The sequence below is a fragment of the Homo sapiens genome, chromosome 3 (assembly GCF_000001405.40).
Source record: "Homo sapiens chromosome 3, GRCh38.p14 Primary Assembly".
Taxonomy (NCBI): Eukaryota; Metazoa; Chordata; class Mammalia; order Primates; family Hominidae; genus Homo; species Homo sapiens.
In genome coordinates this window covers 112,733,545-112,760,354 of record NC_000003.12, presented here as the reverse complement: position 1 = coordinate 112,760,354, position 26,810 = coordinate 112,733,545, and the positions used below count along the sequence as shown (strand labels likewise).

General features: G+C 39.4%; 1 long non-coding RNA gene and 1 other non-coding gene across 2 annotated transcripts, besides 1 other annotated feature; one reads left to right on the top strand and one right to left on the bottom strand.

Moving 5' to 3' along the window:
* Positions 1 to 11,035: 11,035 nt before the first annotated feature.
* On the top strand, positions 11,036 to 23,906 carry LINC02042 (long intergenic non-protein coding RNA 2042). The gene is made up of 5 exons (NR_110017.1): positions 11,036 to 11,124; positions 18,440 to 18,656; positions 19,344 to 20,661; positions 21,530 to 21,677; positions 23,659 to 23,906. It is a non-coding gene; the product is annotated as a long intergenic non-protein coding RNA 2042 (long non-coding RNA).
* Positions 14,754 to 15,608: an enhancer, noted in NCBI's record as "NANOG hESC enhancer chr3:112463594-112464448 (GRCh37/hg19 assembly coordinates)". NCBI's record gives its function as "activates a minimal SCP1, AML or CMV promoter by ChIP-STARR-seq in naive H9 embryonic stem cells {active_cell/tissue: H9 hESC(naive)}" and the evidence as "EXISTENCE:reporter gene assay evidence [ECO:0000049][PMID:30033119]".
* Positions 23,174 to 23,266, bottom strand: MIR9900 (microRNA 9900). The gene has a single exon (NR_162092.1). It is a non-coding gene; the product is annotated as a microRNA 9900 (primary transcript).
* Positions 23,907 to 26,810: the final 2,904 nt, after the last annotated feature.

Genomic DNA, 26,810 nt, shown 5'->3' with positions numbered 1-26,810 from the left:
GGGTGAGTTACTCTTTCTTCCTGCTCTTCAGTTTCCTTGTTACAAAATGGAGGTGCTCTCTCAGGCTGGATCCCATACATCTCACAGAAGTGTCAGAGGCGGGGTGAAGGATAGTGAATTTGTAGAAGGGGTGTAAGTGAGAGAATAATATGAGTGGCATGATTTAAGGCCTAGCTAGCAAAGCATTAACTAGTACGAGATGTCTAGATTTAGTAATAGCCTCCTACCGCGGGTTTATGGCTCCTGTGTAATTTTAGAGAGGGGGCACTTGCTCACTTTTTTTCCACCCAGACCCAGACCAAAGCTATATGTGTGTATCATTACATTTATATGAGGAATTAACAATCTTCAGATGACAACACAGCTGTGTCAGCAGAGTGCCTGCAGCTGAGTCAATATAAATTGTAACCAAGAACATTATACGCTAGAAAAATGGTATATGCTCAAAGAACATCAGTCCCAAGAGAGGCCACCTGGTGACTTGAGCTTTCACATGGGAGGCTAGACCTTCCTCATCAGCCCTTCAAACAGAGCCATCCTTGCTGTTCCACAGCTAGCTTGGGCCCAAGCAGCTGCTGCATGAAATGATTGGGATGCTGCAGACCCTCCCCTTACCTCATCCTGAAAGCTCATGTCAGGGAGCCCCCTGTCTTCTTAGTGCTATGGATCAGCTGAGGGTGGAATGCAGGAACCTGCTCTGAAGGGCCCACAGCAGAAGATGATTCTTAGTCCCCATGAGGGCCCTGTTCCTGCCCTTGTCTGGGTGCCAGAAGTTGTTAATGCAGACTGAGCAATGCCTTGTTGGTCATCCAGCTGAGAAGATTTTGTTAGCAGAGTTTAATTTTCTGAAGGGCCCATGCCACAGAACACACATGGCTAATACTCTGAGGCCTGAAAGCAGGCAGAGCTTATCTCACATGGCCCTTCCTAGCACCTGGTCTAGAGCCTGATTATCTGGACTGGAATCTTGACTCTGTCCTTTCCAGCTGTAGAACTTCTCTAAGTCTCAGTTTCTTCATTTGTAAAATAATACTAATACGAGGTATTGTTATAAATATATAGTCAGATAATTCTTAATAGAATTAATAAAATTAGAAAGGTCAAAATCATACATAATGTATTCTTTGACCATTACACATTTCTACTCATGGGTGAAAGATGAAAGCACAAGGAAAATTAGAAAACACGTTGATATGAATAAAAATAAGAATAGAAAGATAAACTATAGCTTTAAATGCATATATTAGAAAATCTGCAAGGTATAAAAACAATGACATAAGTTTCCACCTGCAGAATCTGGAAGAGCAGGAGCAAAGTAAACACAAACTAAGTAGAAGAAAGGAAATAATTAAGAAGAAAACTCAATAAAACTAAATGTCAACAAGTAGAATCCAATAATATGGCAAAAGGATAATAGAGCATGGCCAAGTAGGTTTTATCTTAGGAATGCAAGTTCGGTTTAACATTCAAAAATCAATTAATGTTATTCACTATATTAACAGAATAAAAGTGAAGAATCATATTGTTTCAATGTGCACAAAGCATTTGAAATATTCAGCATCCTATCATCAAGCTAGGAAGAGTAGGAAACTTCCTTAAACTGATCAAAACAAAACAAAACAAACCCTACAATGAATATCATTCTTTCTGGTGAAAGACTGAATTGCTACACCTCAAATCAAGAAACAGGTCCCTGCTCACCCTCACCACTTCTATTCAATATGTTTTGAAGGTTTTAGCCAGTATGATAAGAAAAAAAATTAAAAATAAGCCATAAAAAGTTGAAAGGAAAAAGAATTTGCAGATGATATGATTGCTCATGTAGAAAATATTAAGAACTCTACAAAACAACTGCTAGAACTGATGAATGAATTTAGAAATGCCACAGGCTATGAGGTTAATATACAATAATCAATTGTTCCTTATACATTACTAGCAAACAATATGAAAATTAAATTTAAAAAATACAATTTCATTTACAGTAGCAAATGAACAACATAAAATACTTAGGAATAACTGTAATAAAAAATGTCCAAGACCTCTACACTCGAAATTGCAAAACATGCTTAGAGAAGTTTGAGAAAACTAAGTAAATGGGGAAGCATGACATGATTATGAATTAGAAGACTTGAGATCATGAAGATTTCAATTATCACCAAATTTGTCAGTGCAATACCAATAACAATTCTAGCAAGCTCTTTTGTAGAAGTTGGAAAGCTGATTTGAAATTATATATGGAAGTGAAAAACACCTAAAATGACCTAACTGATTTTTCAAAAAAGGAACAAAGTTGGAGGACTTGTTCTACCTGATTTCTAGACTTATTATAAAGTCATAGTAACAGAGACATTTTGGCATTGGTAAAAAGATTATATATCTATTAATCTATCAATGGAACAGAATAGAGTCTAGAAATAGACCCACAGATACATGATCAATTGATTGATTACAAAGGTGCAATGGAAATTTAATGAGAAAAAAATGGCTTTTCAAAAAGTTGATGCTTGATATGAATATGAAAAATATCAACCTCTACCTCACAGCATACACAAAAGTTATCCTGAAATGGATGAAGGGCCTAAATGTAAAATGTAAAATTATAAAACTTCAGGAAGAAACACAAGAGAAAATCTTTGCTACCATGGGGTAGGCAAAGATTTCTCAGACCATAAAAAACAAAAACTATAAAAGAAAAGGGATTATAAAATTGGACTTCATCAAAATAAAAACATTGGTTCTTCAAAAGAAAGCAAAAGGGCAAGCCACAAACTTGGATAAAATGTTTGGAACACGTATATCTACCAAAGAACTTGTTTCTAAAACATATAAAAACCCTTAAATATAAGAAGATAAGCAGAAGTCTTATTCAGATACTTCACATAAGAAGATATATGCATGACAAATTAACATGAAAACATGCTTAACATCATTAGTCATTAGAGAAATGTGAACTAAAACCACAATGAGTTATCAGTACACACCTAATACAATAACTAAAATAAGTGACCAATCAAGTTTTGGTAAGGATATGGAACAACTGGAACTCTTCTGGACTACTAGTGGAAATGTAAAATGGTATAGCTATTTTGAAAAAAAGTTTGACAGTTCCTTAAAAAACTAAAAACAATAACTAAAAAACAAACAAACAAAAAACAAACACCTATCACAGACCAGGCCATTTTTCTCCTAGAAAATAGAAGACCTACACCCCCATAAAGACTTGTATACAAATGCTCATAGCTGCTTTATTTTTAATAACCAAAACCTAGAAACAGCTCAGATGTATATCAACAGGTGAAAGGATAAATAAATTATGGTACAGCCATGCATCACTTAATGAAATTGATATATTCCAAGAAATGTGTCATTAGGCAATTTTATCTTTGTGCAAACATCATATGTACTTAGAAAAACCTGCATGGTATAGCCTACTACACACCTAGGCTATATGCTGTAACCCATTGCTCCTAGGCTACACACCTGTACAATATATTACTATACTAAATACTGTGGGAAATTTTAACACAATGATAAGTATTTGTGTATCTAACCACAGAAAAGGTACAGTAAAAAACAGTATTATAATCTTATAAGACCACTGTCATATATGTGGTCTGTTCTTGACCAAGGCACTGTAATTCAGCACATGACTTTATATTCATACACTGGGAAACTACTCGATGGTAAAATGGATAAATTGTTGAGATATGTAACAATGTGCATGTATTAGTCCATTCCCATGCTGCTGTAAAGAACTGCCTGAGACTTGGTAACTTATAAAGAAAAGAGGTTTAATTGACTCACAGTTCCGCATGGCTGAGGAGGCCTCAGGAAACTTACAATCATGGCAGAAAGGGAAGCAAACACGTCCTTCTTCACATGATGGCAGGAAGGAGAAGTCTTAAACAAAAGGGGGAAAATCCCCTTATAAAGCCATCAGAACTCATGAAAACTCACTCACTATCACGAGAACAGCATGAGGTTAACCACTCCCATGATTAAATTACCTCCCACCAGGACCCCTTGCGGCATGTGGGGATTATGGGAACTACAATTCAAGATAAGATTTGGGTGAGGACACAGCCAACCCATATCAGTGCCTAAATCTCAAAATAATTATGCTGAGTTAAGGAATCCAAGCAAAAAAAGAGCACATATTAATATCATTTAATTTGTTAAAAATAAACTGAGGCACATTAAAATATTCAAGAGTTTATTTCAGCAAACAGGGAGTCATGAATCAGGCAACTCCAGACCACAAGTGGTTTGGAGGCTTCCCCAAAGGGTTATGAGGGAAACACTTTTATAGACTAAATGAGGAAGCAAGGCAAAACAGTTTTTAAAAATTGGTCAAAGTGGAGCAGTAACCTTGTTTGGATCATTCCAGTGGAAAGTCCCTAATAAGAGGTTAGTTGCTAGTTTCTGATTGGTTAAGCTTTGTTTTATTTACAGTGAGTTGGGTTTTGGTTTGCTTATGTAGGGACCCAGAGCCCTGGAGCTACCTCAGCCTAAAGGTCTTGTAATTAATATTTTTTAACACATTTACATAAAATTATAGAAAAAATGTAATCTACAGTGACAAAACAGATCAGTGGTTGCCTGGGGACAGTGGTGGATGGAGGAATGGATCACAAACAGGCATGAAGAAAACTTTTGGAAGTAATGGAAATGTTTGTTATCTTGATTTTTGCGATGACTTTAAGGGTGTATAATATGTCAAAACTCATCAACTTATACACTTTTAATGTGTGAAGTGTACTTCAATTATATCTCAAAAAATGTAAAAGAATTTTAAAATGACATAGGCAGAGCAAAAGAAAAAAATTAAACAAAGAATAAAGATAAACCATGTTACATAATTTTAACAACTGTTGAATATGGATGCTAAATACAGAGAGGTTCATTATATTTTGCGCATTTTAGAAAATTTTCATAATATCATTTTTGGAAGTACAATTAACATGCCCATTTGGGAATTATACCCTGCAGAGTTGGAGAGATATAAACTTTTTTTTTTTTTTTTAAAGACAGAGTCTCGCTCTCTTGCCAGGCTGGAGTGCAGTGGCGCAATCTCGGCTCACCGCAATATCTGCCTCCTGGGTTTAAGGGATTCTCCTGCCTCAGCCTTTCAAGTAGCTGGGATTACAGGCGTGAGCTACTGCGCCTGGCTAATTTTTGTATTTATAGTGGAAACGGGTTTTTGTCATGTTGGCCAGGCTGGTCTCGAGCTCCTGAACTCAAGTGATCTGCCCGCCTCGGCCTCCCAAAGTGCCGGGATTATAGGCATGAGCCACCGTTCCCAGCCTAAACTTCAAATCTATAGCCATTACATGGTTTGGTGACTCAAAAGTTATAACACGTAGGTCAAGAAACCAGTGGCAGAAGGAGTGATTCCTCTCACTGTCACTCCCAGTGACCCTCTCAGGACATTTGTACTTCCATTCTAGCACTTTTAGGCTCTGCTGCAGTGGAGGTACTAGTTCACAGGTGTTAAAGTGAACTAAATATGGCCTGAGAAGGACTCCGTAGTTCTACATTTGAGTCCCTGTGGACCAACCGGAACACAACTTAATAGGCAAACATGATTGAAACCTAACTTAGGACTAAGTTAGTTAAGTCTTGGCCAATCCCAGCAGCAGTACGTCAACCACTCATACACTGCTGTGAGTGTTCAAACTGTGTTCAAGTAAGGCAAACACCAACCTATAACCAATCCAGCCGTTTTGTACCTCACTTCCAATTTCTGTACGTCACTTTCCGTTTTTTTTTGTCTGTAAATTTGTTCTGACCACGAGGCATCCCTGGAGTCTCTCTGAATCTGCTGTGATTCTGGAGGCTGCCTGATTAGTGCATCATTTTGTTTTCTTGCTCAATTAAACTCCGTACAATTTAATTTGTCCGAAGTTTTCTTTTAACACAGGGAAGAGTCACAATTATTAGGGAATACTGTCAGTGTGCCATTAAAACTAAAGCAGAGGTCTCACATACTTTGCTCTCAGGGATCTTTTACACTCTTTGCAGACCAATGAGTTTTATTTGTGTGGGTTTTTCTCTACCACTAAATACCCTATTCATAATTAAAACTAAAAATTTTCTTTAGTATTTTAAAATGTAAATAAATTTTAGTATTTAAAATGTAAATAAATATGGTTATTTTAAAATAACCATAGTAAACCCATTACGTTATTATAAATAACACATTTTAATGAAAAATAAATTATTTCCAAACCAAAAAGGTTTAATGAGAGAATGCCATTGTTTTATATTTTCACAAAACCTTTAAATATCTGGTTTAATAGGACATAGATTCTCATATCGGCTTCAGTATTCACTCTGCTGTGATATGTTGTTTTTGTTTAAGTACATGAAGAAAATTTGGTCTCTTGCAGATACGCAGTTGAAAATAGTGGACCTCTGTCACTGGGAACTCTCAGGGCTCTTCAGACCTCTCTTTGAGATCTTCTTACCTAAAGATATAACTTCCTCCTAATCATTTTGGATTCCACATACTAATAGATCAACAGTAAAGACGAGAATTACTATAGTGGGAGTGGTCATTGGTCCTGATTACTGTAAATAAATCAGATTGCTTAGCCAGGTGCCGTGGTTCACGCCTGTAATCCCAGCAATTTGGGAGGCCAAGGCAGGCAGACCATGAGGTCAAGAGATCAAGACCATCCTGGCCAACACGGTGAAACTCCATCTCTACTAAAAATACAAAAATTAGCCAGGCATGGTGGCATGTGCCTGTAGTCCCAGTTACTCAGGAGGCTGAGGCAGGAGCATCACCTGAACCCAGGAGGTGGAGGTTGCAGTGAGCTGAGATCACACTACTGCACTCCAGCCTGGTGACAGAGCAAGACTCTGTCTCGAAAAAAAAAAAAAAAAAAAAAAGAAAAAAAAGAAAAGAAAAGAAATAGGATTGCTCATACGAAATGCCAGCAGGAAAGATGTCTAGAACTCAGTAAATTCATTGGGGCACTTTTTATTGAGTTCATGCACTGTGATCCTTATGACCAGGTAATTCAAGCAGTCATAGTTTAACAAGAGCATAGTAATCAGGGACTCAGATCCCCCAGGAATGAAAGTGTATGTTATCACACGAAGCAAACAACCTAGACTAGCAGGACTGCTAAACAAGGGGTAGAAGAGGGAGATAGCAATTATCAGGGGTGACTTTGGGATCAACTGCAGCTGTCTAGATTGTATCTTACCCTATTAAACTTTCTGTTGTCTTTCTTCTTTTTTTCCCCTCTTTTGAAATTCTGACCAATCATCTCCTGAAAAATCAGTGTCAGGATTGTGTCCATTTAACATGGGACCCAAAGGAATCTGAGTGATACAAAGGCTGGACTGCAGCAGACACTGTTGGTGCCCAACCCATATCCTCTCAGCACTCACTAGTTCCTTACATGCTGGTGGCTTTCTACTCCAAGCTCCTGAGACCCAGGACACTCAACACCATACAAGAAGGGCAATGGAAGTTCTTGGAAAGATGATGTCTGCCAGATCTGTCCCACAGATCCTGGCCAAGCAATGGGTAAAAGGAGTACTCAGGGCTGGGCACCGGTGGCTCACGCCTGCAATCCCAGCACTTTGGGAGGCCAAGGTGGGCGGATCACAAGGTCAAGAGATTGAGACCGTCCTGGCCAACTTTGTGAAACCCTGTCTCTATTAAAAATACAAAAATTAGCTGGACGTGGTGGCACGCACCTGTAACCCCAGCTAGTCAGGAGGCTGAGGCAGGAGAATTGCTTGAACCCGGGAGGTGGAGGTTGCAGTGAGCCGAGATCGCACCACTGCATTCCAGCCTGGCGACAATGTGAGACTCTGTCTCAAAAAAAGAAAAAAAAAAAAAGAAAGAAAGGAGTACTCAGACACAGGTATGCAGTGTAAAAGCAGCTAGGGGACTGCCCGGCACTAGTTGCCAAAGAGTGAGCAGTCTCTAACAGCTGGAGCTACTTGCTTTTATTCAGTACTGACATAATGCCAAAGCCTGGAGCAAACACAATCTGTGGGTAATTAACATTATTGTTCCTCTGTGTCACATGCATGGATGATCAAAGGTGGGTTCCTGGTCAACATAAGTAAACAGGCCTGTTTAAGATAAATTCCCCTACACTTCCTTGTACCTACTCCTTGCCCTCTGACTCAAGGGCAGAGAACAGCTGCCTTCAGCTCTTCTCCCCCAAAGCTATGCAGAGCCTTCTGAATAGTCAGAGCCTTTCCCTGTTGCTTCTCCCACCACTCTGACCAATCTCCTACAGATGTCCCTGGAGCATCCCTCAACCAATGATGAAAGGCAGTTGGTGGATAAATACCCCAGTTCCTTACACCTTGGTTGGGAAAACTCTGAGATGTGTTATGTGTAGTGTCCTAGAGGTCCCCTGTGGGATAAGTCCCAGTTGCCACAGAAGTAAATGGCTCATTATCACACCCCGTTATTCTTTTTTCTTTTCTCTATTTCACTTCACCTCTCCCTGACCCTTGATTCCTTGGCTATGACATCAAATAAATTGCTAGTACTTAAATCTTTGTCTTGACAACTGCTTCTGGGAGAACCAAGTGAAACTTATCTGACCTGGGTGTCATTACAGCAGAGGCATTCCACCTAAGTAACAATTACATGCATTCAAATAAACTGTTCACAGTAGATTTATGTGCTACTTAAATCATGTGCTTCCACATAAAGATGTAAGGTTATAGCAACCTGAAACATAATAAATTAAAAAAATGTGATGTGGAAAAAGAAAACAATGGGTGGGTGGATGGGCGACTAGATGGCTGAGGAGATATGTTGCCATAGCAGGGCCCTTCTTATTATGTTATGGGGAGGCATGAGCTTGGCATGCAGACTGGTCACTTCTTGAACTACTTTTTCTTTTTCTTTTTGGTCACCCTTGCATTCTAATGTGTTAGCATTCTGTTTCCAATATGTGTTTAGCACTCTTTAAAATTTATTGTAAATAAAATTATTTCCATCAAAACTCTATGATCAGCCTTAGATATATCGTTCCATATACTTCTTGTGAAATTCCCATTTTACAAAGAAATGTATATATGGACTTTCACAATAATTCTTTAAATGCAAGAGAGAACAAACATTTTGTCATGTTGTAATCATTCTTCTGGTTAAAAAAAAAAGCATATATTTGGATTGGTTAAGAAAAAAAAAGAGGATATAGAAAATGGCTTATACAACTGCAGCTGTAAGCCAGATTTAAAAGTCCAAAATAGCTACTATATGTACATTTGTGGAGAACTGTATTTGTGTGTTTGTTTCATGATAGCATGATATACAGGCTACCTTTACTGCTAGTTTTGGAGAATTTAAAGCTATTCTTAAAACAGAGCTTTAAATTTTTATCTTGGGAACAATCATTGAACAAACTGGCTAAAATGTAGATTCCTGGGTGCCACTCAAGCCTTACTGAATCACAATCGTTAGCCTGGGGCTCAGGAATCTGCATTTTAAGTGATAATCCCTGGAGATCCTACTGTGGATGGTTCTTGAGTCAGACTCTGACAAACACATAGGCTCTCTTGACTAGAACTCAAGTGGAAATCTTACATTAAAATTTGTCAAAGTTTTAAGAGGGAACTCTGGAGGGACAAATTTTAAAATGGTGCTGTCTATGTTGAGGTCAATTAGGAGGAAATTAGAAACCTGAGTAGGATCCCATGTGAAGCTGGGTCAACTTTTGGTAAACATCTCAGATATTAGGACAAGGTCTGTAAACCCAGGCCCCAGCTAGCTATGGAACAATTATGTGGTACTTCGAAAGTCAGACAAATTTGATCCACTGGTATATTATTTGCTTGTGTCCCTGTTGTTCTCTCTTGGCATGTAACAAAGCCGTCTTGGAAGTTACAGCTTGATTGTATCTATAGCAGACTTTAAAAGGTAATTTACACTCCTCTGGGTCCAAATATGGTGGTGGCTACAGTGTCTAACTTCGGAGAACCCCATGTAGAAGTGTGAGATTTGGAGGGATAAAATTGGAGCTGTTTAATAAGCTCCCTACTTCTACACTGGATTTTCATTTCTGGATAGTCATTGAAAGTTCTGGGTTTTATTTTAATAGAAAAGTAATTTTCCCTACCAGCTTCCTGGGTGTTTGTAATGAACATTTTAAGCCAGTTTTCAGCTACAAGTAGTAGAAAACTGCAAGAAAATTAATTTAAGCAAGGAAATGAATAAATCCGTAGGTAGGGTGGGCTGCAAAAATGGCTGAGTTCGTGACTCAACAAAGTCTTCAGACATTGTGATATTTTCCATTTCTCTCTGTCTCACAGCTTTTGAACATCTTAAGGTTGCCTCCTCAATTTTAGGGGATTATAATATGTTATAAGGTTATTGGAGTTATATGGGATTATAAGATAGCTGCCATTAGGAATCAAGGAGATATGCTTTTTTTTTTTATGTCCAGCAGGATAGAGCAATCGCATCTCTTCCAATCTTGAAATAAAAGTCATTTCCTTTTATCTAACTGGGCCAGTGCCCCAGGTAGTTCACACTCCCCAGCCCTGGACCAGTAGCTGAAACAAGAGGGAATACCATGAGATAATTGGCTTAAGCCTGGATCCTGGACCAATCACTGACAATGGGGATGGGATAACCATGCTTGGATCGATAAGAAGCCACCCCCAAACTGGGAATAGGGTCAGCTTCCCCTAAGTAACAAGGACTACAAAGAAAAGGGGTAGTGGACACCTAAAAATATTTGGGATCTGTTTGGAAAAGATGGAAAAGGGAATAGATACTAGAGAAGCAATCAGTGGTTGACTATACTTAACGTTACAGAGCTTTCCATTTAAAGGTCTCTATCCCAGCCTACATGTAAACTTCTGCCACCCAATCTTTCCACATACAGTTGGAGAGCCTCTTCCCTATGACCCGTGGAAGATTCCAGGGAGCCCCTCAGGCTTAAGGTGTTTTGGAATGTAGTGGCAAGGTGGCTCATAGAGTGCCACCACAAAGAGCATAACATTCTATGGCAAGAATGGTTGCTGTGCCCATCAGGCAGTCAATTTAGTGAAGTCATGATACAGATGGAGAAATAGTCCCCCTGAGGTCTTGCGCACAGATTTTAAGATGATTCTCACTTACAAGAACACTGAGTGGTAAGTTGAGAAAACTATGATTCTCATGTTCAAGACTATTTTCCAATTGTTCACCCTATATTTCCTGTTCAATGCCCCTTTACCCACTTTCTCTGCCCCAACCTGTTTTCCCAGATAATTCTCCCCATCTAGTAACTCCCCTTTCCTTTTGCTCATTATCCCCAACTTTTAGTACTTTCCAGAGTGCCAGCTCTGGACCCTTTATCCTTCAGGCTCAAAGCCCTGTACTATTTTATTTTCTCTGGTGCAATTATCCTCCATAACTGAAATCCAGAGCTCAAATCACTAACAACTAAAAGCTAACTTCTAAGGATGCTTAGTCATCATACACTTCCTAGAAGGGAATAAGAAATATTTACCTTCCCGGCTGGGCGCGGTGGCTCACGCCTGTAATCCCAGCACTTTGGGAGGCCGAGGCGGGCGGATCACAAGGTCAGGAGATCGAGACCATCTTGGCTAACACGGTGAAACCCCGTCTCTACTAAAAATACAAAAAATTAGCCGGGCGCGGTGGCGGGCGCCTGTAGTCCCAGCTACTCGGGAGGCTGAGGCAGGAGAATGGCGTGAACCTGGGAGGCGGAGCTTGCAGTGAGCCGAGATTGCGCCACTGCAATCCGGCCTGGGCTAAACAGCGGGACTCCGTCTCAAAAAAAAAAAAAAAAAAAAAAAAAAAAAAAAGAAATATTTACCTTCCCTCCTGGGTGTGGGGAGTGATGGGAACCAAGTGGGAGCAGAGAAAGTTCCCTCCCTCCTAGAATGGGTTTAATTACTCCTTCCCTTGCAAAGAAGCAAAGAGAAACAGAAAACAGGTAGTGATGTCACCATATCAAAACTGGTTAAAAACTCATATGCTGTTACCTTTATATTACCATATGCTGTGTCTTGTATGTTCAGAATAATTTCTTATAATTAAGGGAAGAAAATTATGATGCCCTTAGAGCTTCATGTGTGTTGGCTTCTGTTCGTCCTCTGTTTGATCATGTCCCAGTGGGCTGGTGGAAAGGATCTGGTGAAAGTGATTTCTTTATAAATTTCTCTTTTATTATTACATTATCTGGGCCCTGGTCACCAAATCTCCCCAGCATCCTTGGCTTAGGTGGAATATTGTTACACTGAGCAGCTTGGATATCCTTGTAGTGTGGAAATGAAAAATGAATAAGAAAAATCAGTTGTGCTTTCATTAGAAAAATCCTTAGATACTACAATGTGCAAGTCAGAGGATTATGGGAATAAGTGATACCAGAAAAAAACCCACCTTGCTCTCTGTTGAGCCAACTCTTGAAGCTTTAAGGACTGAAATATTTTTCTGGTGTGCATAGATAAAGACTTAAAGTTTCAGGTTTGCTTGTCTCTTATTAAAAGGAAGAAAAATATGTCTCTCCCTCCCACCTTTAACCACTTCATTTCAGACCGCAGAGCTTATTAATATTCAGTAATATGTCTAGGCTTGAACAGATAAAAATAGCCAAGCCTTTCATTTAGAAACAGACTTCTCTAAGCACAAGCTTATTTTCTCTATCGCTGCAAGTATAACTGCCTGTCTCTGCAGATAGATCATCCGTCTCCTTCCAGTGACCAGCATGTGAAATGATGGTCACTGTCACTTATTTTGTTTCATGAAAGGCTGCCTGTTAGCACATTTGTCTGTTTCTCTTTCAACCATACTTGAACCTGCACCCCCCCCCCAAAATATTAAAATACGTTAAATATCTGTTAAATATCCCTTCTATCTGTTAAGGGGAAGATTATCCTTCAGTAAGAGGTGATCCTTGGTCACCCCCAATGTTAGCATTATCTGCACATTATAGAGCTGTGCTGTTTAATACAGCAGCTGCTAGTCATGTGAAGATTTTACATTTAAATTTATTAAAATAAAATAATTCAGTTTCTCAGTTGCACCAGCCACATTTCAAGGGCTTAGTAGTTGCATGTGGCTAGTGATTACTCCACTGGGCGGCACAGAGTATTTCAATTTTTTCAGAAAGTTCTATTAGACAGCACTGCTATAGAAGCTCAACTGAGTAAATATATCTGTTGACTAAAGAAAAAAAAATCAAGCTTTTAGAGAATTAAAGTTAATTTTATTCAGAAGTCTTACTGAGGACTATAGACTACCGTCTATAGCCCCAGGGCAGTTCTGTCAGACTGTTTCAGCACAATATTTTAGCCTACAGCTTATGTACATGTGGTAGGGGTTCTGTACTTGTGAAATCACATAAAACTTGCTCTGAAGTTATATTAAAGCAGAATCACCTCGAAGTTTGGGTGTAAAAAGACATCTGGTTGTAGATTACAGAAGCATAATCACTAACTCTGTCAGACATTATCTTATGTCCAGGAAAAGGCAAGGATGAGGGTCATTTATCTTTTACGAAATGTAGTGACTCAGGCAAAAGACGTGAGGTGGGAGGGAGGTGTGTGCTCTCCGTGTTTTGTCTTCAAAACATCTTTCAAAAGAGCTGCATATCATCATAGAGTCAGAGGCTCTGTGAAATTATAATAGCAAATGGAAATGGGCAAACATGGCTTCTTTGCTACTTTGTCTCATATAGTATATAGAAAGCCATTTCAAATTCCAAGTTGACTATGACTATTATTTTTATGACAGTTCATGATTTTTAACTAACTATAAGTTTTGTGGGGGGTTTTTTGTCAAATAGTTCATGTTTTTAGTTTCTTTTTTCTTTTTTTGAGACAGAGTCTTATTCTGTCACCCCTGCTGATGTGCAGTGGCGCTGCCTCAGCTCACTGCAACTTCTGCCTCCCAGGTTCAAGCGATTCTCGTGCCTCAGTCTCCCAAGTAGCTGGGACTACAGGCGCCCGCCACCACGCCTGGCTAATTTTTGTATTTTTAGTAGAGACGGGGTATTACTATGTTGGCCACGCTGGTCTCAACTCCTGACCTCAAGTGATCCACCCACCTCAGCCTCCCAAAGTGCTGGGATTACAGGCATAAGCCTTGGTGCCCGGCCTCATGTCTTTCAATCTGAAAAAAAAAAAAACCCAAAAAAACAAAAAACAAAAAAAAGCCTCTTGGATGCACCACTAGAGAGTAATAATCCAAAAATCAGGCAGTCCTTGGTCTAGTTCATATGTCACCACCACCAGCTGTATGTCTCCCTTAACCTCTGAGTGTAGATTCTTTCCTATAAAATGGAGACAGTGATGTTGCCTGCCCTGCTGTTTCATCATCAATAAGCAGGGATTGTGTCTTATGTCTTATTTATCTTTGTAACCATGAAGCTTAAAACAGTGAGTGGTACACAGCTGGTGCTCAATAAATGTTAATTAAGCTAAACAATGAAATAATTTACATGGCTCCCCTTCATTCCATCAACGTGTTCTTTGATATATAACTAGGTCGAGGGACTTTATCTGCTAAAATTTGAGGGAAGGTGCTGATGGCAACATAAAACTTAGGCAGAAGAAAACATGTCTAAAAAGGATGTTTAGAAAGTTTTAAGGAAATTACAACAAAGATCTAGTAAATTCTTGAAAGCTTTCTGAGTCAGAGTGATGCGATTTAACTGTTACCCTTGGTTGCACCTGGCTTCAAAGCAAGAGTGACTGGGCCTAGTTGTATACAGGTTATAGTTATATGAGAGATTAAAAACAGAGCGTGTAAATTAGTTTCTTAGGACCATTTAAATGATAAAGCATCTTTTTCTCTTTTACCTTCTGTTCCCCACAAGCCTCACTACCTCCAAGTCTATATGATAGCCATAGTTTTGAGAGGGTTTAGAGAGAACACAATAACTTCTTGCCCAGTAGATACCAGCATTTTTTCACAGGTATTATGTATAGGAAGCCACAGTTTTAAAATGAACACTCACAAGGCAAAGCATTGGAGACCACTGACCAATAGGCATGTTTAAAAGTCAGATTTTTTCAAGCAGCTTCTAAATTACCAGGGAAACAAGCCAACCAGCCAGATGTGTGTGCAGTAGAATTCCAGCTGAGAGAAGCACAGAAGTCAGGCTGTACTGGCAGTTTGGAGGAAGGGTTGGGTTACTCTGGGAAGACATTCTGGAAAGAAGGACCAAATGTTCAAAACAGATTAGCACCCTGACAGATTGGGAACGGGTTGAAGGATCTTTTGGGCCAAAAGACTATGAGGTTTACATTGTTCTTTGCTTTTCTTTGTAAAGTCAGAGCCCAGATGTGCTGAGCTCCAGGGGTGAGCTGACCAAGCACATTGCCAGGTCTCAACTCTCTATTTACTTCACAATGAGATGAAAGTCAGCTCTCTGCAGCTCCTTAGCACAGAAGAGCTTGGTTCAGTGTTTTGCCATTCATTATATGCCACCTTTGCTTAGGTGGTTTCACATACATTCGTCTTCATTAGGTGATGCTTTGTGGGCCTACACTCATTTGCATGTTTTACAAGACTTCTATCATGTCATTGAAGTGGTAAAATGGCCCTGGCTGTCTCTTTTCCAATCTGGCTTCTATATCTTATCATCTTCTTTATTTAATGAAATGGGAGTGATGTACAGATGAGGAGGTCTGGGGAGGTATTCATTTTTCTGTCTGGTATTACTTTTATCTGTTATTGATCATATTCTCAAAATACACTTTAAGGATGGTGGAAAATATACTCTCCAAATGTTGATTTGATGCAGACCTAATTCTGCAAATTCAATAAATAACAAATTAATATTCCAAATGCTTTTCCTGACACTTTTGTTTTTTTAGGATAGTGATTCCAGATCTGAGTTCCTTTAGGATGTCAGAAGCTCTTTTGCAGACATCAGGCAGCATTTCAAGTCTTCTCATTTCTATGCTAAAACATTATTATGTCCTTTGGCTCCTTAGGATGCATGGGAGTCTGGATCCTTTTGGCCTAATGCTGGTCATGGTCATATAAGTGATTGGTCAGTCTCAAATCTTGGGCATTGTCCCATCCTCTCATCCACCCTTTTCCAAAACACACACAAACACAGCTCATCCTGGGAGACTGTGTGGTCCAGGGAAAGAATACTGGACAGACAGGGAGTACAGAGGCCTGGGTTCTAGTTGCCAGCAACTAGCATAGGCAATTCTCTCCACCCCTCTGTTTTCTTCAACTGCAAAGTGATAAAGCTGGAACAGGTCATCGATAAGGCTCTGCCAGCTATTACATGGCTTAAATCCATGAAGCCTGGAGAATACTAAGGCAAAAACAATAGGGAGGGCAGAACTCATAAAAAGACTGCATCTTCTCATTGCAAATGTAAGAAAATTTGAAGCAGCAGACTTAGACTTCTCAGTTGGTACTTTTCATCTGGTTCAGAAAGAAATCAGAAAGTAAAAGATATAAGAAACACTTGCTTAAAACTGCTTCTTTTAATGTATTTCTTTTTTTAAAAAATTGCCCTAAGTGTTTCTCCAGAAATAAGAGATTTTTTTCTTTCCCACATCTCTGATTCCAGGAAGTTTCTAAGTTCTCTGTGTTGCAGAACATTTGGTAAAGTATTTGACTTATTGTATGGGATGATGACTATGAGAGAGCTATTTTTGGATACTTTTATCTGAAAATCTTTATGCACTTTTTTTTTTTTTTTTTTTTTTGGAGAAGGAGTCTTGCTGTGTCGCCCAGGCTGGAGTGCAGTGGCACAATCTCAGCTCACTGCAGGCTTCGCCTCCTGGGTTCACGCCATTCTCCTGCCTCAGCCTCCCAAGTAGCTGGGATTACAGGCACCCACTACCATGCCTGGCTAATTTTTTTGTATTTTTAGTAGAGATGAGGTTTCACCGTGTTAGCCAGGATGGTCTCCATCTCCTGACCTTGTGATCTGCCCACCTTGGCCTCCCAAAGTGCTGGGATTACAGGTGTGAGCCACCGTGCCCGGCCTATGCACTCTTAAATACAGTTTTTAAATGTGTGTGTGCATCCATGTCTTAGAATTCATAGTGTATATCAAGAGGAAAATGGATTAATTTCTCAAAAAAGTAAAATTTCATAAATATGTCTACTGTGCAAATTAGCAGCATATTCCTTAGTGTCTTCCCTAAGTTTCCTCACTGAGTTTCTGTGTCATATTGCTTCTCCTCCTGGTGTACTCTTTTCCCACTCCTTTGCCCCAACCACATACACACTAGGTTTTAGAGCAGCAGCTTCTAGCCCATTTTCACAGTCTCTGGTCCTGGCAGAACACCTGTTGAATCTTTGGTCTTTATATCACAACCTTTCGTTCATTCATCTAATCCAAAGAATATTTTATATGCCAGACATTTTGCTAGATAGCGAAGATGTGTCATAAATAAAAGAGAAGAGCCCTGTTCAACCTCTCCACCCAATTGTGGGAGAAATTGACATTAAATAAATAATAGCTGATTATTTTGTTAAAATTATAATAGTGTTACATAGGAGAAGTCACTGTGTCTCAGGAGTGTAGAACGGGGAAACTAATTAGTCAGTGATTGTGTGAGAGGAGTGTTAGGGAAGACCCCTCAGAGGAAATGATATTTTCTTAGACTTTAAAAGAGGATGAAGAGTTGTCTAGTTGAAGATAAAGTGGGGTGATGCCTAATATATTGCTCAATAAATATTTTTTTAATGGATTTGTAAACAAAACTTCCAGAAAGAATTATGGGTATTGATTATATGCTAATCATAGTAGTCAGCATGTATAAGAAGGTAAAAACTACATATATTTTAGGACCAGGCAGCTCTTATTCATTCTGGCAGTGACATGGAAGTGAGAAAGGCCAGCTGACCTAAAGAGATCAAACTTTTGACCTTGCCCTCTTTAATCCAGGACCCTAAACCACTGTGGTAACTAGACAATTGTGATATATGAATACTTTGAAAACCTTAAAAATGAAGAACATTGAGTCTTTCATGAAAATACTCCTGATCACAGTGTTTGCATTACAAACTGAAATCCAGTGGAATAAACCCTGGTGGGCCTATGTGGTAAAACTATCATATTTTTCCTAATGACTGTGCAAACTCATTATAAAATCATAATTTTGAGGTTTCATACCCATCATGAGTCAAGATAGGTTAGTTTTGGCAAAATACATCTTCTTGGCTTTAGAGACTGTGATCCATCTTTGTGGCATCAAAGAAGGGCAGCATAAGTGTTGACTGGAATCCCAAACTTTTCACCTCCCTTTGATGCCAAGCCAAGCCTAAGCTTTCATCAAAAGTACATAAATTCTTTTATATGGTGTAATTAGGAGTTTGTAGCATAATTTGCAACAGAGGTTGCTTTACTTGCATGCTTTTTCCCTTCCTGGATCTTTTTCCCTGACCTGAGAGAATGAAAATAAATCTCACATCATCTTCACCAATTTTCTCTTCATCCCACCTGGATGTGCTTCCTCTTAGGTTACCAACTGCCCAACAGATACGTCAACTGCAAGATGTTCTATCAAGCAATTCACTACTTCCTCCCTTCTCAATCTTCAGGCTCTGCATATGGAAATGAACATTTCATTATGACCCTATGACCTACAAAGCTCCCTCTCTGTCACTCCTTATCATCTTTCCTAGGGAGGCAATCAAAATGAAATGATTTTAAGATTCTAGCACTCCCAACTCTAAGGTAAATAGCATCTGACATCTTCATTAAGTCCATATTCAGTTTTTAGGTCTTCTGGTTGAAAGAAGAATAATCTAGAAGGACAATTAATATTTAAAAAAGTCTTTCCCCTATAACTTAATATTGTAGGTGGTAGTACTTTTTAGGACAGCACAGACTTGGTTTGGAAATCTCAAAATAACAAAAGGTGGTTTAATTTTCTTACCCCTATGTCAAGTTTTACCTGTTTTTTGTTTGTTTGTTTTAATTCTCTAAGTGGGGATAGAACATTTTGTGGTATGAAAAACTATGAAAGATCTTACCTCTGAAAAAAACTCCATTTGAATGAACCCTAATTTAATGGACAGGTGAAAGGTCAGCAACCTAGAAAATTGGAGTGTAGTCACAGAATTTACAACACCTTCTAACATTTCTGGGCCTAAATTTCACGTGTATCTAAAGTAGAAAGAATGGTCCCCAGCCCTTTCCAGAGTTTTAATGAAAGAGTCTATTGCTTTAAATTAAAGACACATCTGCTAGGTTCCTTTAACAGCATCAGAGTTGATGTTCAAACATATTATTTCAAAATTATTTTGCGAAATGTTGAGGTTATCTGTCTTTAAAGTGCTGTTGCAAAAGTATATTGTTGAATTTGTAACTCACAGCTAGAAAGCGATATAAATCTTACAAGTTGCACTGAGATCTTTCTAGATGAAAATGATGCAGCAATCATGAACTCCTGTGTTATCTGTCACTATCTCATAAGTCACATGATTTGAAGAGAAGATCATTCGGAGCAGTGGAAAAATGAAATCAAACATAGCTGCTACCTCAGATTGAAGAGATGTCCTCTCCGATTCTTTAAAGTATTTCCTATTCTCCTACCCACCTCCTCTGTTGTTTGCAAGACTCAAAAAGATAAATTTATAGTGAAATAAGAATCCTCCAACTTACATATTAGAGCTTCTGCAATTAAAGAAAAACAGAAATCAGGCTGGGCGCAGTGGCTCACGCCTGTAATCCCAGCACTCTGGGAGGCCAAGGTGGGTGGATCACCTGAGGTCAGGAGCTTGAGACCAGCCTGGCCAACATGGCAAAACCCCATCTTTACTAAAAATACAAAAATCAGCTGGGTGTGGTGGTGGGTGGCTGTAATCCCAGCTATTCAGGAGGCTGAGTCAGGAGAATCCCTTGAACCCAGGAGGCAGATGTTGCAGTGAGCCGAGATGGCACCACTGCACTCCAGCCTGAGTGACAGAGTGATACTCTGTCTCAAAAAGAAAAAAAGAAAAAGAGAAATCTATGGGTGAAGACAAATGGAATGGCAATACCTTGGAGTAGCATTTACTAATTCAAGCCATATAAACCATACTAAGGTTGTCAGCCCAGAGGGGAGTCCATCTGCTATGTAGATGAGAGAATGCGACCAGGAAAGTCAGGACACAAAGCCATGATTCTTTCAACTTTTTGGCACTTTAATAAGTGAATTGCATGTCCTGTCTTCTCCATGAACTCAGCAAAGCTACAACTAAGCTCCTCATCTTGAGAGTTCACCATGTGCCCACTTTGACCTATGGATGGGCCCCTTGGCACTCTACCTTTTCAGTGTCCTCAACTGCACAAACTTCCTGGGCTGCACTGACTGCTGTACCCAGGCAATTTTTTGGGAGCTCCAATGTCTTGTCTAGCACATGACATGAGGCTGTAGCATGTTCTTTCAAGTATTAGTGCTAAAGAGGTCCCATTCTACTTTCTCTGACTGATCAGGTCACTGTTTTCAGCTACCTGGCCCTTCTAAGTCAGGGTCACTAGAGTATTGGGAGGTTTGTAACTTCTTCATTGGTGTCTTGTGTTTTCCTGTCTTTGAACTTGAGGAAAGCTGGCCCTGGATGTTCACAACATCAACCAAGCAATGAAAACCACAGCACCCTACAGGAAATTCTGCATTTCTCTCAAAACATGCAAAACACAAAATTGGGTGGAACCACAGAAGGTTATGGATAACTCACTACAGTTTGGACTTTCAAAGGTAAAATGTAATATTTGACTCATGGCTATCACTTCTGGGAGATTTTTCAGGAGAGATATCTATGTTTCTGAAAGTCTGTATGCTTGCCTTTATTTTTTCTAACTTACTATAAATTCTTGTCAGTTCTGGACATTTTGGTTAAACTTGTTTCTACTGTTACTTGTTCATGCTGTCGACTAATAAAAAAGACAGTGTTTTTAAGACTGTGCTTCATGGAGCCCTAGGGGCTTGAAAAAGCATTTCAGGAGCTATTTTGGGGCCAGGGAGAGGCTGAGTGAGTCAGGAACCAGATCATGCTGTTTCTGTCACCAAATACAAACACACACACACAGATACAATATCAAGTATAAAATCAGACACAAACTCCAATAAAAATAATCCCTTGTATATACTATAAATAATATGTATTATATATATGTGTATATATACATATATGTGTATGTATATATCTATATGTATACATGGTATATATACATATATACTATGAGGTTGTATATATACTATGCCTCACATAGTATATACACACATCTATAGCATATATGTGTATATACTCTGTGTGTGTGTGTATATATATATATTTGTTTTTAAACTACGAAACTGTACATAAAACTTTGGAGAAACGAGTTCGTTAATTAAAATGAGTTTGAAAATCTCTGGGTCAACTATCCAAAAATGTGTATATAGTTGAATACAATCCATGAAATCCTAAGTAATATACCAGTAGAGAATAGAATTTGCAAGATTACATTCCTTTTAATCAAGTTCTGTGCACATTAGAAAGAATTTAGTACAGACAAAAAGCCATGCTCATTCATTTAGACATTCATTCTGCTACTATTTACTGACACTTTTTTTGTATGTGTTCCAGGCCCTGGGAAAACTATCCTACTTTTGTGAGATACTATTGTTCTACCTGTAATGCAAGTGAACAGATCTTAATAAGGACAAATAACAATTTTTTAAATGTTTACCATATTTTCTCATTTGTTCCTTTCATCAAGCATCCAACCTGCCAGGTAATTATTATTATCTGCTTGCTTCAAATAAGGAAAGTAAACCTCAGAGAAATTAAGCAATTTTTTCATGGTCAGTCATCCAGTGAATAGCCTTTCAACTCTTTCCTAACCCTCTCCAGTTTGTCAGCTTAGCTGTGGGAGCTCAGACAGGGCACACTCTCTCTGAGCTCAGCTGAATCACATATAAAATACATGTAATATCTTTCCTATCTCATATGGTTGCAAAACTTTAAAAGAGCTAATATGTGATAGTGCTTTTCAAGGCAAAAATCAAGCCATATTATACTGGTACCAGGTGATGAATTATTTTTACTGGACTTTGTGCTTGATTTTTCTACCCTGGGCTTTGCTAATCAGAAGGTCAGAATCAATCATTATACAACTATGGATCAAAAGCAAGGCATGGGCAATTGAAAAGACCACAAGTTAGAACAATGCTTCTCAAAATATCTGGGATTAAAAACCAGCTAGTTCTTTTAAATTCCCAGTTCCTCATGGATGAATACACAAAATATAAACACCTCTTTTTTTGTCATTAGCTTTAAGGGATTTAAAATTATTGCATTCTAAATGCAATTCTCAATTTCGGTATGAATCTTGTCATGAACTGATAAGAAACAGTTGTCAGTAGTCTGTGAACACACTTTCAACACTACTGGGTTAGGATATCCTCAAATTGGTTGAAGTTTGAATTTTCAAAATTCTTTACAGAGTTGTCCTTGAACCTACAAATATGAACCAAAAATCAGCCCCCAAAAAAAGAGAATGGGAGAAGAAAAAAGGTTCTTCACACTCTATATCAGGTTCCCTAGTCTAGAGAAATATAAAGGGGAAATTTTGTCCAAAAGCAGTCATTTCATGATTTATGTAATAGAGATGCTCCAACCAAGGACACCATAAAACCAATTTGTGTAAAGCAGGTTTTATGTATATCCATCAGAAAACTCCTCTAAATGCTTCAACTAAAATTGAGAGGTAGTTGAAGGATTTTGCTTTCTCCTCTATAGAGTGAGAGGTTATATTAATATTCCTTCTAATATTTTGTGCTTTTGCATTGGAAGCTAACTCAGTGCCTGGGTATTAGAACAAACCAGCAGAATTTCTCTGGTAGGAACTTTCTGCCCAGAGACCTCTGTTCTATTGCTTTTCCCTTGCTGTTACTCACAACCGCGTGTAACAATCTCATACCTTAGTTCTCTTCTTTTTTCCTGATATTTAGAATGCCTAGTAGAGCCGCAAATGGCATGTCATATTTTGTCAGGAGATGGCATTGACTAATGTGTGCAGAAAACACCCCTGAGTTAGATACTTTGAGTCATGTACGATGACCAGTTCAGTATTTAACACTTGACAAAGCTCAAAGCTGTTTACATGAAATGTATATTTTTGGCTTCTGGTAGTCTATGCTGCTATTACGGAAGGTTATAGTTAGCAGGTTTAAGAAATATTTTTTTGGGCTTTCTAGAATGAATAATTTGAATGGTACCAGCAGCAATTCTTTGTGAGCTGAAGGCTTGATGCAGTCTCTTAGGACCTGTCCTTTTAGAAGTAAGAGCGGGTTCTTAGAGGCCACATCCTGCCTTTCAGATAGAGATATCAGCTTCTACCAGGAATAGTTCCTTTCATACTACACTTAAGTAGGCAGTGAGAATAATCAGCACGATTGAAACTACCTTTGCAAAATTATGACTGAGACAGCGAAAGAGATCTAACTTAACTGACTCCATCTTGCTTCTAACCTCCATGCTGTCTTTTTCATTCCTGGGCGTAGGACGAACTAACTTTGAGAGAAATTTAGTTTATAGTTTAAAAAAAAAGATGGTAACAGCCCTTTCCCAAAGCAGACCTCCTTCTTGCCTGGGGACTAGACCAATATTAGCCAGAAGGTTAGAAATTACGGTTTAGGAGTCATGCAGCTGGAGGCTATAAGAATCTGACTCCCTAAACTGCTCCTAAGATCAGTGCTTGAGATACTTTGCAGACCCTGCACTTGATGGATCAGCTGGCACCACCCAAATCAATAAACCGGCTCATCTGATCTTGTGGCACCCACCCAAGAACTGACTCAGCACAAGGAGACAGCTTCGACTCCCTGTGATTTCATCCCTGTCAACCAGCACTCCTGGCTCACTGGCTTCCCCCCACCCAACCAAGTTATCCTTAAAAACTCTGCTCCCTGAATGCTCAGGGAGTTTGATTTGAATAATAATAAAACTCCAGTCTCCTGCACAGCCGGCTCTATAAATTACTCTTTCTCTATTGCAATTCCCCTGTCTTGATGAATCGGCTCTGTCTAGGCACCGGGCAAGGTGAACCCCTTGGGTGGTTACACTAGCATTGGTTTTTGTTTGCCACTGCAGCATTAATTATGTGTTTTTTATGGCAATAGAAATTTTTTTTTACTGCCTTTCCTCAATGTTACATGAAGACATATTTCACAAGTAGGCCAAGTACAAAGTAGGAATAGAAGCTAGAATGGAATCATAGACCAGATTCTTACATAGATCACATCAGCCAGGCTGAGGCTCCATCTGTGTGCATGGCACGGCACAGCTGCGTTGGTTGCTTATAGCTAGCATCTGTTCTGATTGGTTGGTGCCTGTGGCTTTTCAGTTGCTCAGAGTTTTGAATACCAACCCTGGGTACACAGTTATCTCTGAAAGCTAAAATGGTGAAATATAACACATAATGAATGCAATGAGCCAGCTCTAGACACAACCAAGAGAATTCCCGTAACTGGGAACCTGAGAAAGTATAAAAGCACTTAATTGAAGGTGTAAATGAGAGAAAGCAGGTTTGAAATGCAACCAAAACAAAGCCCACACATAGACAACTGTATTTATAAGTTGTTTCTAAATGGGAATGGAACGGTGTTTTTCCGGGAATCTAGGGAACAGTCTCTCTACGGCGACTTTTCTCATGTGAGAAAACAGACATTTAGCAGAAAACCAGAAAATGTTCATTGGCTTCGGTGAACTTTTATTCCAAGTTTCAATGAGGGACCCTGTGCAGAGGCTTGGGACACGGAGACCTCCCTCTGCTGCCTTTAAGGAAGGTCATTAAAAAAAAAAAAATTCCGTTTTTTTTTTTTTTTTAAAGACGGAGTCTCGTTCTGTCGCCAGGCTGGAGTGCAGTGGCCTGATCTCGGCTCACTGCAACCTACGCCTCCCAGGTTCAAGAGACTCTCCTGCCCCAGCCTCCTGAGTACCTGGGACCACAGGCGCCCGCCACCACGCACAGCTAATTTTTGTATTTTTAGTAGAGATGGGGTTTGAGCATGCTGGCCAGGATGGCCCCGATCTCTTGACCTCGTGATCCGCCCGCCCCAGCCTCCCAAAGTGCTGGGATTATAGGCGTGAGCCACCGCCCTTCTAACTTTTCTATTGTACCACACTGATGGCAAGGAAGGGCGGTAGGAAAGCCTGCCAAGGAAAGGGAGGACCGGCCTGCATATTCTTAAGCGCTGTGGGACACTGTTCTGTAGACGTTGCCCATCCCATTGCTCTCTCAGGGAGGGATGAGCCACGGCCAGGAGCAGCTCCTGGTCATCTACTGTACCACGTGTGCAGAGGGAAGACACACTCCCAGAGAAGAAAATGCTGGGAAAAAGAGACCACAGCCTTTGTATGGTGGCTCAATGTAAGTACTTCTTGACATGTCCAGTTGTACAGCTCCTCTTTGGGGTTGGAGCGCTTTGCTTTCCAGGGTGTAGATTGGGGTCTGGGGAAGTGGTGAAGTGGAGTGAAACTGGAGGCCTGGAGCTCCCCCTAGAGGCCAAATGTATTTTACCCTGACTCAAGAAAACCTGGAGCTGGAAGCTTGGCTCATCAAACCTAAAGTAAGAGTAAGAATCAGCAGTATTGTCGGCACTACCCCGGGAAGGGAGAGATACTAAACCTAGTGAACAGTGCAGGTCCGGAATCCTTTATGTGAAGTTCTAAAACTCAAAAAACTTTGAAAATGGAAACTCTTTTGAGACCTATTTGGCAACAACGTTTACCTGCAATATGAGGACATAGTCTTTATTATCTTAATGTGAGTATTTTTATCTTTTATGACAGATATATTAATTAATGTGTTTAATCATGAGAGGCTGCCCATATTCCTAGTAGGAACGTTAAAAGGTAGAGTACCCACTAGGGGTGTTTTAATGTACAGTATATGAACTGTTTACTTCTCTCAAATCTTAAAAATTCAGAAATCTGAACTACATCTGGCCCCAATCAGCCAAAGGACTATAGGCCTGGGTATTATAATGCTCACTACTGTGTGGGCCTCAATCACAGCTCAACCTGTGCCATGTGACTTTCAACAAGTGACTCACTGGCTAGAAGGCTCAGCTTCTTCTTTAGTAAGATGGAAATATCACTAGTTTAGATATTAAATGAGTTTATGCACCGTGTTCAGCCCAGGACCTGGCAAATAGTAAACATCTAAGAGTGTTAGTGATTATTATCATACTTTGTTATTATTACTTGATCTGAGAGAGTGCATACCTCACTTTACTCTGATTCACAGTCACCAAAGAGTCATTTGACTACCAGCCACCAGGCCCACTATTACCAGGAAGGTGGAATCTTGAAAGACGAACATGAGCTTTTGGGCCACTGATGATCCATTATAAATCAATAATTTGATATTCTAGATCCTATCTCAATCTCTTGAATATCTAGAAAAATCAAATCAAACAAAAATCAGAGATACTCTTGGTTCTGAGACACACCTATACACCTAAAACCTTACTGGTTGCAAGCAGGCTTAAGTTACAGACAGCCAGACAGCCAAGAGCATTTTGAAGGTGGGAAAACTAAGGCAAAGAAATAGAATGATTTTTTTTGACATGAGCACAATAATTGTATGTGGGTCTTGGCTAATGGTTTGTGATTAGTTTACAATGATCCAAGAATCTAGAATAAGATTTTCTTTTCTTTTCTTGTCTTGTCTTGTCTTTTCTTGACATGCAGCCTCACTCTGTTCCCCAGGCTGGAATGCATTGGCACTATCTCGGCTCACTGCAACCTCTGCCTCTTGGGTTCAAGTGATGCTCCTGCTTCAGCATCCCTGAGTAGCTGGGACTACAGGCATGTGCCACCACTCCCAGCTAAATTTTGTATTTTTAGTAGAGACAGGGTT